At 36.2% G+C, this 11,764-nt stretch overlaps 1 long non-coding RNA gene across 2 annotated transcripts in view, besides 1 other annotated feature; it reads right to left on the bottom strand.

Moving 5' to 3' along the window:
• Positions 1–2,282: 2,282 nt before the first annotated feature.
• LINC01818 (long intergenic non-protein coding RNA 1818) overlaps positions 2,283–11,764 on the bottom strand; it is a 186,703-nt gene continuing 177,221 nt past the window's right edge. For both annotated transcript variants that reach the window (NR_187171.1, NR_187172.1), the window contains 2 exons: positions 4,384–4,420; positions 2,283–3,046 (listed from right to left, as the gene is read on the bottom strand). This is a non-coding gene — a long non-coding RNA (long intergenic non-protein coding RNA 1818). The remainder of the gene's footprint in view (positions 3,047–4,383; positions 4,421–11,764) is intronic.
• Positions 2,509–3,011: an enhancer, noted in NCBI's record as "NANOG hESC enhancer chr2:151211977-151212479 (GRCh37/hg19 assembly coordinates)". NCBI's record gives its function as "activates a minimal SCP1, AML or CMV promoter by ChIP-STARR-seq in naive H9 embryonic stem cells {active_cell/tissue: H9 hESC(naive)}" and the evidence as "EXISTENCE:reporter gene assay evidence [ECO:0000049][PMID:30033119]".

Raw genomic sequence — 11,764 nt, 5'->3', positions numbered from 1 at the left:
GTGGTGTTGGACCATGGGGGTTCTGAGGTCAGACTACTGGGGCTGAAACCCCAGCTGTGCCATCACCACCCCTGAAATCTCAGGGGAGTGACTTAGCCTTTCTAGACCTGAGTTTTGTAACCTATAAAAAGAAATGCACTCACCTCATAGGGTTGTTTTGAAAATTAAATGAGTCAATACATGAAACTGCTTACAACAGCACCTCGCCCATGAAAAATCCTCTGAATTTGCAATCTAGTATTACTTCATACTTTCATGGCTTATTGTGGCATTTTTTTCTGTCTGGAGTTCCTTTATCTCCAATCTCATTTCTTCTTTCTCCTTATTCTAGTTGAAATATATCTCCTTTCTGGAAAAACTGATTTGCCCAAGCAGGGTTGACTATCTTCCCCTATGCATCTTTATACCACTGCCCCAGAATGGATCATGATTGCACTGTTACTAATCATCTATTATTGTCTGTCTCCTCAACCAGCTAGGAGCTTAAGGACAAAGTACTGTGTACTCTTCATGTTTGTTTTCACCCAAGCTTTTTCCATGGAAGGTTCTCAATCAATATTTGTTGAATGAATGGATGAATGAATAAACTAATTAACCAACCAATCAATAAATCAATCACATATTGTCTACCATATGTAAATTAATAGAAATCTTGGCAATACTCAGAAAAGCTCGGGGAAGAAAAGCTTAGTGTACTTGTTATATTGTACACGGAATGATGAATTCTATCCCTTTCATAAACTACCACATGAAAGGGATTTTTTGTGTTCTGACTCAATTTACTTCTTATGTCTATACCAGACTTAAAGCTAAGTCTGCACAGTGCCCCTAAAATGGATATTTGGAATTTATTCATTAATATAGTTACAGTTAGGAAATCCAAATAACATAGACACCAATGTATATTTTTAGAGAATATATATTCTCTATTTAACCTTTCTGTGACCACCTAATTTACTAGGCACAATTTCAAAGCTGTACGTTATTTTTCCACATCAACATGTGGCTCACCCTATTGAGAAAAGGCCCCATTTACAGAAGGCTTTGTGAATTCCCTTACTAGGGGCTTATGACCCATTACTGTTGAACATATCTGGACTTGGATGGACATGGTCTGAAGGATATTGGCCCAAAACAATCCTGGATGGCAGTGGAGCCAGAAGAAAATCTCTTTATCCATAAGCAGACTTAGAGGTCAAGTTTTCTAGAAAAATCATGGCGTTTTTTGCCTGAGTTTTTCAATGAGTAACATTTGCCATATGTGTACCAAATATTTCTTTTTCTTATGGATTTCTCTTTTTCTTCCCACTTTTCCCGAAGGAACTTTCTAGTATTTTAATGACGGATCATTGAGGAAGGATTCCTGTGTTCTAATCCCAGTCTTGTAGCTGACTGAGCCATGTCATTTTTTGTTTCCATACCTCAGTTTTACTTGGTATAAATTAGCCTCTCTCTTTTGGACAGTAATGCAGAATTGCTTATTTTTGAAGCCTCATAGTAAAATAAATGCTCTGTTAATCCAAAGCTTCTGTTAAGACAAAATAGTTGTCTTGTCTGGAATAAGATGACTGAAAATACCGATGGCTGTGGCAACCGGTTTTTAGTAATTCTAAAAGGGAACCCTTTTGTCTATGTAGGAAAAGAAAATAATTGAGGCAAATGATGTCTCTAGGAGCTAGCAATTGTCTTGGAATAAGTTTGTCAGTTACTTCCTTCTTTCTTTACCTTGCTGCTTATTTCTAGGAGGCAAAAATTGCCATTACAGTGTTCTCTTTCTATAAAATTACCATATTAGTATTTGTTTCTTAAGAGCATGATATACACTTTGAAGTGATTGTTTTCATTGAGAATATTATGTCAACATAAATGAAATAAAACCACTGAACCTTTCCTTGCCAAATACAGCTGTTCTTAAGGAAGTAGATTTGATAGCAGGAATACAATTTTAACTTACTGTTTCATTTTGGTGATTTGGAAAACTTTTACTATAAGAGTAAGAATAGAGTTCTACAATTTTATTAGAATCACATTGGAAGATTTTAATTATTTTAATAGTATAATTTACATATATAATATATAAAACTATTACATATAACTAGTATTAATTACATATAACTAGTATTAATTAATCCTAATCTGTAACATTAACCAAAAAATTGTTCTAATTTTATTAAGTGCACTATCATCATTCATACTAAATAATTATATAGTTCCATCATTGAGATTCATTTTATGCAAACAAATGGATTCTTTTCAAGTTAATGAATCATGAACTCATTAAATATAGATAATTTGAATTAACATTTATTTCATTAATTATAATTCTGATATGGCCTGTACTAGAATTGAAAATGGAAGGAGAGGATTTTTAAAACAAAATGCAGCCCCTTATTCTTGACTAATGATGAATTTGCTAAATTCTTTCTTTCTCTAGCCAAGGAGTGAGAAAGAAGCAGGACTGGTATACACCTAGGGCCATTTCCTTGGCCCATGTATTCAAAGTTAATGTGGAGAAGATAATTTCCATTCACCATGTTCACAGGGACAAGGTGTGTGTGTCACAAAGGCTGTCTAATAGAAGTGGGAATGCAAAGCTGAGCTTCCCCAGGGTGCTCTGGGGCAGTTTCTCAGTGGGGCGATGTGAATATTTCGGGAGGGAGCATGCTTGATTTTGTGGAATGCTGAGTGAAATGCTATGGAATTGCAGAACAATTAGCACCTCTGGTCTTTACCAATTAAATGACAGTCTCCCTCATTCCCTACTCATTGTCTCACTGATTCAACAAACAACCACCCCACTCATTTTCAAACATCACTTCAGATCAACTCTTTGTTACCAGATAAGATTCCCTACAATGCTTGGCTTTGGGGCAGGGGTAGTGACTGCTTGTCAGAGTGATTTGAACCAGAGCACCTCCATCTTGAATAGGTGTTGTGTAAAATGAGGCTGAAACTTGCTTGACCTCCATTCCCAGGAGGTTAGGCATTTTTAGTCACTGGATGAGATTGGCAGGACTGGTTCCACAAGATACACATCGAAAATACCCTGTTGATAAAATAAGATGCACCAAAACGTATCAAAACCAAGATGGCACTGAAATAATTGTAATGCATTAGCATACTGAAAGACATTCCCATCAATGCCATAATAGTTTACAAATGCCATGACGACGTCTGGAAGGGACCCTATATAGTCTAAAAGGGGGAGGAGCCCTCAGTTCCAGAAAATCCCCACCCCTTTTCCAGAAAACTCATGAATAATCCACCCCTTGTTTAGCATATGATCAAGCAATGACCATAAAAGTAGCCAATCAGCAGCCCTCAGTGCTGCTCTGTCTATGGAGCAGCCATTCTTTTGTTTCTTTACCTCTCTAATAATAAACTTGCTTTCACTTTACTCTGTGGACTCACCCCAAATTGTTTCTTGCATGAGATCTCAGAACCCTCTCTTGGGGTCTGGATCGCGACCCCTTTCTGGTAACATGCCTGCTCCTTGCCTTCATTGTCCTTATAAGGAAAATGCAGGTAACTCCTAAGGTGTTAGTGAAATGACAGGTTTCCGTTATATTGCCAGTCCTTTCAGTCCTATGCTATGTTCCAGAGTATGGATTTTGTGAAAAACTTAAAAGTCTGCCAGAGCAGCCTTGCTTGTGCTCTGAACATGATTTAGAGGGCATCCTACTAATGCGTGGGATCCCACCATTTTAGCAACATGTTTTTCCCACCTGAAGTGTTAAGTGTAGGTCACCTTTCCTATTTTAGGCTGTTCTTCTGCAGCATCGAAGCACTGCGCATCTTTGGGAGTGTATTAGTTTTCAAGGGCTGTCGTAACAAACTTCCACAAACAGTGGCTTAAAACAACAGAACTCTATTCTCTCACAGTTCGCGAGGTAAAAGTCTGAAATCAGGATGTCAGCAGGGCGATGCGCCCTTGAAAGTCATCGGGGGAGAATCAGTTCCATGGCTCTCTCCCAGCTTCCTGTGGCTGCTGACAATCCTTGGTGTTCCATGGCTTGTGGCTGCCCTCCATTCTCAGCCCTCATCTTCACGCGGCCTATTGCTTTTTGACACTGAGTGTATCAAATCCCCCTCTCCCTTCTCGTGTCAGAACACTAGTCATTGGATTTAGAGTCCACCTTAAATCCAGGATGATCTCATCTTGAGATTTTTAACTTGATTACTTTTGTAATATCCTATTTTCAAATAAAGTCATATTCACAGGTACCAAGGGTTAGGATTTGAACATATCTTTTGGGAGTCACTATTTAACCCTCTATGGGGAGTGAGTTTGAAAGCAGAGAACTCAGAAAGATGGGTAGCGGATGCAGAGGACACACTTCCCAAATTCCATCAGGTGGCCTAAGCCATTTGGCATACACTTACCCTCAGCTTGGGCTCCAAGGTGGGTATCTTGGCTCTCCTTTATGGAATATGCATTTATGCACAAAATGAGAAATAGAAATGTTAGTAAGGAATGTTTTTGCTACAGGGAATAGAAAATACAAATAAAGTGTCTAAACAAAGGGAGGTTTTTTTTCTTGTATCACTAGAAATCTGGAAATAGGCAGTTGTTGGTGATGGTTCTGTGGCTCAAACTTGTTAGGGCATTTCTATAATTTTCTTGGATATTTCTTCATGTTTATCACTTCCCAAGATGGTTGATTCAGCTTTGCATTGCAAATTTGTGCTCAAGGTAGGAAAAAAGAAAAAGACAATGGTAGTTCTACATATCTTTTATCCAAAAAGGCAAAAGTCTTTTCTTGAGTCCATGGCAGACATTATTTGCATTTTATAGTCTAGATCTATGTAACATAAGGACCTCTAATTGCAATGGTGACTTAAAAGGGGACTACTTAGGTTCTTTGTTCCGTACTGTGGAAGTGGCAGGAAAGAAGGGAGTTGAATTGTCTGGTAAGATTTGCTAATGAACAGAACTGCCAGAGGAAGAGAAGACTCTCATTATTTTAACAACACATTTCTTTCATACCCAAAGACGAAAGAAACAAAGGGTATAAAAAACAGTTGACTAGCAGAGCCAGTAGAAGTAGCAGAACTGGGATTCCAACCCTAGTTTTGCCATTATCATCTTTAACCAGGCAATTGGAACTCACTGAGCCTCTGTTCACCTCATCTGGAACCAGGCACTGGATAAACTCAAATGTTCAACTCTAAAAGTCTATGATTCCATTAATCCATTATCAACAGAAATTTTCTTGGTATTTTTATAATTCCAGCGATGGTGTGGTTATATTGGTGCTAAGAAAAGAAAAATGTAATATTTTTACTTTATTTATATATAAAACTATATTTATATATGAAATATATCTAATATATATTTTATATATTAATATACAAGTACATATTCATATATAAATTATATATTAACATTTATATATGATATATAGTTTAATATAATTATATATTTAATAGAGATACAATTTTTATATGAACTTATAATAAATATGTGTAATTTGTATCTATGAACTTGCCCAGATATAGCCAAGCCTAGAAATGGCTGAAGTCATGAAAAGTTTCATTTAAAAGCAATTGCAAAATTTGGTGAAAGCAAAGTAATCTCTGAAAGTCATTTTTCTATTGGTTGCCAAATGAAGCTTCAGCCTTTTCTGAAGACAAAGCCATTGCTCTTCCGCAGAGCGTACCTGAGCCCATTTCTTCCAGGCCACATTCTCTCCCTGGTAAATCGGACATCCTTTTCTGTTCGGTGGGAGAGGCTTTGTGCCCTCACTCTAGTTTTCCACAAAGGACTGACTCATAACGCTATTCTGATGAGGCTGAATAATTTTTCATAAAAGTACATGAGCTCAATCAGGCAGGAAATGAAGCCCTCAAATTAAATCAAAGGTTGTAGCAGCATCTCTATTTGCTTTTCCAAAACTCCGCTAGAGACAGGGTTTCATTTCACATGGTATGAAAAATCAATAAGCAAGGAGTGGTTTCAATCATTTAAGTGCAGCATGACTAAAATTGGCCGTGGAGAGCCCACAAATGAAATTCTGGCAGTCATTAAACCTTTGACAATTTAAAACACATATGAGTAGGTGAAATATATATTTTGCTGGAACTATGCTTAAAGCATTTTTTTATCTGAAGTGGAAATGTCAAATACTTGACTCTTATATTGTAAATGGGGGAAATATCAGTTTCATACCATTAGGAAAGTCTAGTAGGCATGGTCTATGGCAGTATGCAAGAGTAATGAGGTGAGCTACATATAAGTCTGTTTTTACTATTGTTGGCACTGCCCTATCTCTCCATTTTCACCCAGTCCTGACTAGTAAGTGTATTGCTTTAGCTCCCAGTACCTCACCTCCAACCAAGGGCTCTAAAGGATTAAGTGGTTGAGACACTCCTCCAAATAGTTTCCCTGCCAGATAGTCCAGAGTGAGTAGCAACAGGTTTCTTAGTGGAAGACTTGGGGAAGTGATATTCAACTCTTTTGCTCATAAAAGGGAAAAACAACTTAAAATTTCATTTAAAAAATGTTTAATTTGATTTTTAAAAAGAGACTGGGTGTGGTTGCTCATGCCTGTAATCCTAGCACTTTTGGGGGTTGAAGCGGGCAGATTGCTTGGGCCCAGGAATTTGAGACCAGCCTGGGCAATATGCCAAAACCCCATCTCTAAAACGAATGCAAAAATTAGCCGGGTGTGGTGGCACATGCCTGTAGTCCCAGCTACTCAGGAGGCTGAGGTGGGAGGCTCTTTTGAGCCCGGGAGTTCGAGGCTGCAGTGAGGCGTGATGGTACCACTGCACTCCAGCCTGGGTGACAGAGCAAGACCCTGCCCCCCACCCCCCTAAAATATATATATTCCTTCATACAGTTTTGGTTGGACAACTATGCATTTTGATCATACATAGTTTTGCAGGATATAATTCTTAAAATAGTTCCAAAGAATATAATTTCTGGCATATTGATAACATTGACATTTAAAAACAAAATGGTTACTTCAATATTTAAAAGGTATCTAATGGACTTTAGATAATTTAATAATCTGATATGTATAATCATTTACAAAATACAGGAAATTGCTCCTCTTTCATCATATGAAATTTTATGTTGCTGATTTTTTATGACAACTCATATATTTCATTTTTTATATTTTTTGTTCCAAAGTCTTCTATTAATCATGCTATAACAGTTTAAAAATAATATGTATACACATTTATATATAAATTAAAAATATTCTTATCAACATAAGCCTTTCGGTGTTTAAAATATTCCAGATTGAATTGACAATTATTATTAGCATATAATTGACAAAAATAGCATACATTTATTACAAATTTAAATACATATTTATTAGGCATAAAAAGCAAAATTGTAGTGGATATGTATTTCTTGATAAAGTAAATTGAGATTTTATAAAATTATTTTATAAATTCATCGACAAATATTTATTGCTAGAATGAAATAGTATTCAGCCTTAGCATTATTGATTTTCTTGTTTTTATGGTTGTAAACACTAAGAAAACCTATTTATATAAATAAATAGATGAGAATGGAAGAAGTTTTATTATAAAAACATCACCCAATTTCTTTCACAGTTTCTGAATGGCATAACTGCATGGGAATTTATCATAAAAACTCGTTTCTAATGATCTATCCTTTGATAACTGGATTAACTCCTCTCTCAGTTTTGTTGACAGCAATAATTTGGAAGTACATGACTCATAGAATAACTTGTTAGCTATCCTGGAGTTATTCACTTTCTCAAAATAGGCTCGATATTTCAACTGGGTCCTTGATTTATTGCCCTGGCCCTGGTGGTTTTTATACCCCAGAGGAAAGGACAGGGTAAGATTCAGGACACCAACTTAAACCACACTGGGATTACAGCAGCCAGTGGTGCGTCTTCCTTGTGGTGTTTCCATAGAAGTACACAAGCAAGAAATTGAAGAGAGCAAGAGGGTTATCGTCCAAGGTGGACCACATCTTGAGACTTCTATAGATCAGGTTATCACCTTTTCAGAGGGAAAGGTGTTGCTAGGAACTGGCAACCCGGAACATATCAAGATCATAACAAAAATGAAAAGCAGACCTTTGGAAATGGTTAAAAAATGTGCTTTGTTTTTTTTTGTCAGAAACAGAAAAGGCATATAAGAGCATGGGTCTACACACAAATCAGAGAAAGATTAAAATTATTCCATGTTCTGCCAGATAACAAAACTAGAATCCTTGGGCTCTTCAATAGGAGAACTTTTAACAATGATGACTGTCCAAGAGTAAAGTTAATGTCCATTTGACATGAGGAGTACTACCCACCCCGTCAGTCACCAGTAATGATCAAGCAGAGACTAAATTATTTTTCCAACGATGCTGTAGAGAAAAGTTCTGCATCATGCAGTGGAGTGGATCAAATGACCTATTGGGTTTCTTCCAAGTTTGAGATTCTAAGTACCTTAGCTTGGAAAAAGCAGAAATATTCTAAGAGCTGCAATCCCCAGCAGCAGGAGTAAAACAATGTCAAGATGAGATAGTAATATGTTGCCTATTCATAAATATGTTGCTAGTTACCTAACATAGTGGAACATTATTTGAACTTTTATCTGATAGAGTGAATGGATTTACACAGATTAACCACACTTCCCTGTCTAATCTCCTTTGTGGCCCAGGGTATGCGGTTCTAAGACTGTTGGGTTTGAGAGTAAGGTCTATAGTTAAGGCATAGAACCAAGCCAGGCAGCTGACTTAGGGATCAGAGCAAGAAACTTGGCTGTACTCAATCAGTTCTCTGAGCAACCTAGATAACCATATATGCTTCTCACAGAATAATTAATCATAACTTAGGGAAGTTGAACTTAATTTAAATGTTACACTTGATACTAAGACATACCATGCCAAGCATTTAGCTGTCTGGGTATATATTTGAATGATAATCAATCCTAAAAGTCTCCGAGTGGTTCTGGGTCATCTTGAAAAGAGCATGTCTCTGGGCTGCCATTTGCCTCTTTGTGGTTTACTATTTGCCTACATCTGCTCCAGGTGTGATAATTTATACATTCATTGGTTCTGCACTTTGAAATGTACAATGCGCACTTTAAAATGTACAATGTGTGTAATGATCTCACTTAACCTTGTCAAATAAGCTACTTGATCTGACTTTGTTCCTGTGTATCTTACTGTTATGTCTTCCCTAAACCAGTCTCCAAATTATAAATGTGTAATTCAATTTCTTTGAGTTTTGAAATTCATGTATATCATTTATGATAGTGTACAAATAAGCCCTAATATAAATGAAATTATTTAATTCATAATGTGCTTTATTTTCATTTTAATGTATACACATTTTTATTTATGTAGAAACTTAACTTCTGAAAAATAACATATGCTCATTCAAAAAATCAAATCTACTGAAATATGTAAAAGCCCTTCCCTCCTCTCCCCATTGCCATAATCCCACTCCCCAGAAATAAGAATTATTAACTGTAATTAATCCTTATAAATCTCTTAAATATATAAAAGCGGATATATTTTTATGACATACTGTGATGTAACATGTATTTTTAGATTTAAGTCATTATTTTTATCAAAATTACATACTTACAGGTTTTAAAGAGTCACATCATTTTCCAGAGCTCACTAAGAAAACCTCAGTCTCCAAATACCTTCCTGCTCTCCAGAGGCAACAACTTGCAAAAATGTTAGCTATTTATCTTAATACTTACCATCATATTTCTTGGTAGTATGCTTATATTGCTATTTTTGTTTTCAGTGTTAGGCATTATTTATTGACCCCCACTCCGTGTGTGTGTGTATGAACATACACACACACATACACACACACACACACAAACACATACCATCACCTTCCTCCCATCCCATAGATATAGTTATAAACTATTTTGAGTAATAAGTATTTCACATTGGCATTTTTTTGGGTATGATGCTCTGTTTACACCTGAGCACAATGGGATTCTGTGATTAGTCTCTCTTTATTGCAACCCTTTTCTTTCCCTAAAATTAACAATTGTCTTTCTTGTTTGTTTGTTTGTTTGCTTACCTGTAGGCTTATCACTAATGCATCCCTTAAAGTCTTTGAAACCAGTGTTAATCTAAACTCGATATGCCTAAAGATTTTAGGTATTTCACTGAATTCATCTACTTAAAGGAATATCTTTAACGAAAGTATTAAGAGAAACACATATTTTAGAAAGAAATTTGCTCAATTCTTTCTGCCTTTGGTCATTTGTATATACAGCATACCACCATATGGTATATATACCTTATATTAGTCATTTGTTAAGGTTGAGTATGTCATACCAAATTATGATTACATTTTACCTATTCCTCTTTGAATATTTATTGTTAATTGCTTGTGACCAGCACTCAATAAAACTCCCGCATAGATATCAAAGTAAGCATGTAACAATGCTCAATGTTGACCAGGAAAGTTGTCCTACCATAATTTTCCTCCGTGCTAAGCCTTCCGTACTTCTCAAAGACAACAAAATACCTTGAGGAAACAAGATCTTTAAAAACTTGTGAAACACATTTGTATTCTGTGAAGCCCTTTGGGAAAGCTCCTGTTGAGTTAGAAGAGTTAGAAATTGAAACCATAGTGACCCTAATAAAACAAATTCTCACTTATCCATTTCAAACAGGTACTTAGGAGCAGTTGAAATATGTTTATCTTTCTTTGTCATCATCATTCCTCTTGTCCACTATGACCTATGGCTAGGAAACCCAGTGTGCAAAATAATATGTATTTTCTGGTTCATTTAAAAAAAATCTTTCCAGCACCCCCACCCCCCTTCTTTTTCTCTTCCTGTAATAACCAGTTCCTATTGTTGCTTTGACTTGCTTTGTAACTGCCTCTAAATCAATGGTGTTACTGATCTGCAGTGCTGAGTGGCCTGCGGAACAAGTGAAAATCCATTCATTCTGTCAAAGAGTTCAAGCCCAGCAACCAATTCTCCTAAAGTGGGATATGATTTTTGTACACACATCACAATGAAATGTGGGCAACTACACCTACTTCATGAAACATTTTGTTTTACTATGCACTGCAAGTGAAATTCAACAATTGCCAAAGTGAGCTTAAGTTACTGTGATGTGCCACTTGCTATGCATTTGGATTCATTTTTAGACCTGCAAATTAACTGTTTACATAATAGATAAAATAATGAAAATGAAAAAAATTAGGTTACACATGTATCGATGGTAGTCTGGGTAGTCTATTCTATTTCAAAAGCACTTTGTAAGTATTCCTGTTGTCATTATCTACACATTTAGATGTTATTTGATTCACGCACATCTTTTCCGTCACTTGAGTTATTCATATATATGGATGGAGTCGCACAAGACCAATCACGTCTGAGTGATTGAGTAGGTATAACTGCCTTATGACCCAATTTCATTGCTCTTTCCCTAAGACACAACCACAAGTTCTACCCCATGGCTGCTTTCAGCATTTGTAAAATGATGAAGAGATTTGGGTTACCATGAGGTATGAAAGATTGTGAGTAAGTATTTGTGTCACATAGGCTGAATTGTGGTCATTGTTTAAAGAACTTCATGATGGATGTTTAAAGCAGGCATTTCAAGAATGCAAAGCTGTAAATGTTCACACTCTCATTATGAGAATGGGAAGCATCTTTACAAATTATAAGGCTCTAAGCATTCAGTCTGTTTTGATTATCATTGTACATATAGTCCCTTGTACTTGCTTGGTGCTCAATAATTATTTGTTGAATAAATCAATCATCATGATAAGTTCAGTATTAAGCAATGCCAGTAAGAATG

Source organism: Homo sapiens, chromosome 2 (genome assembly GCF_000001405.40).
Source record: "Homo sapiens chromosome 2, GRCh38.p14 Primary Assembly".
NCBI lineage: Eukaryota > Metazoa > Chordata > Mammalia > Primates > Hominidae > Homo > Homo sapiens.
This window is presented reverse-complemented; position numbering and strand designations above follow the sequence as displayed.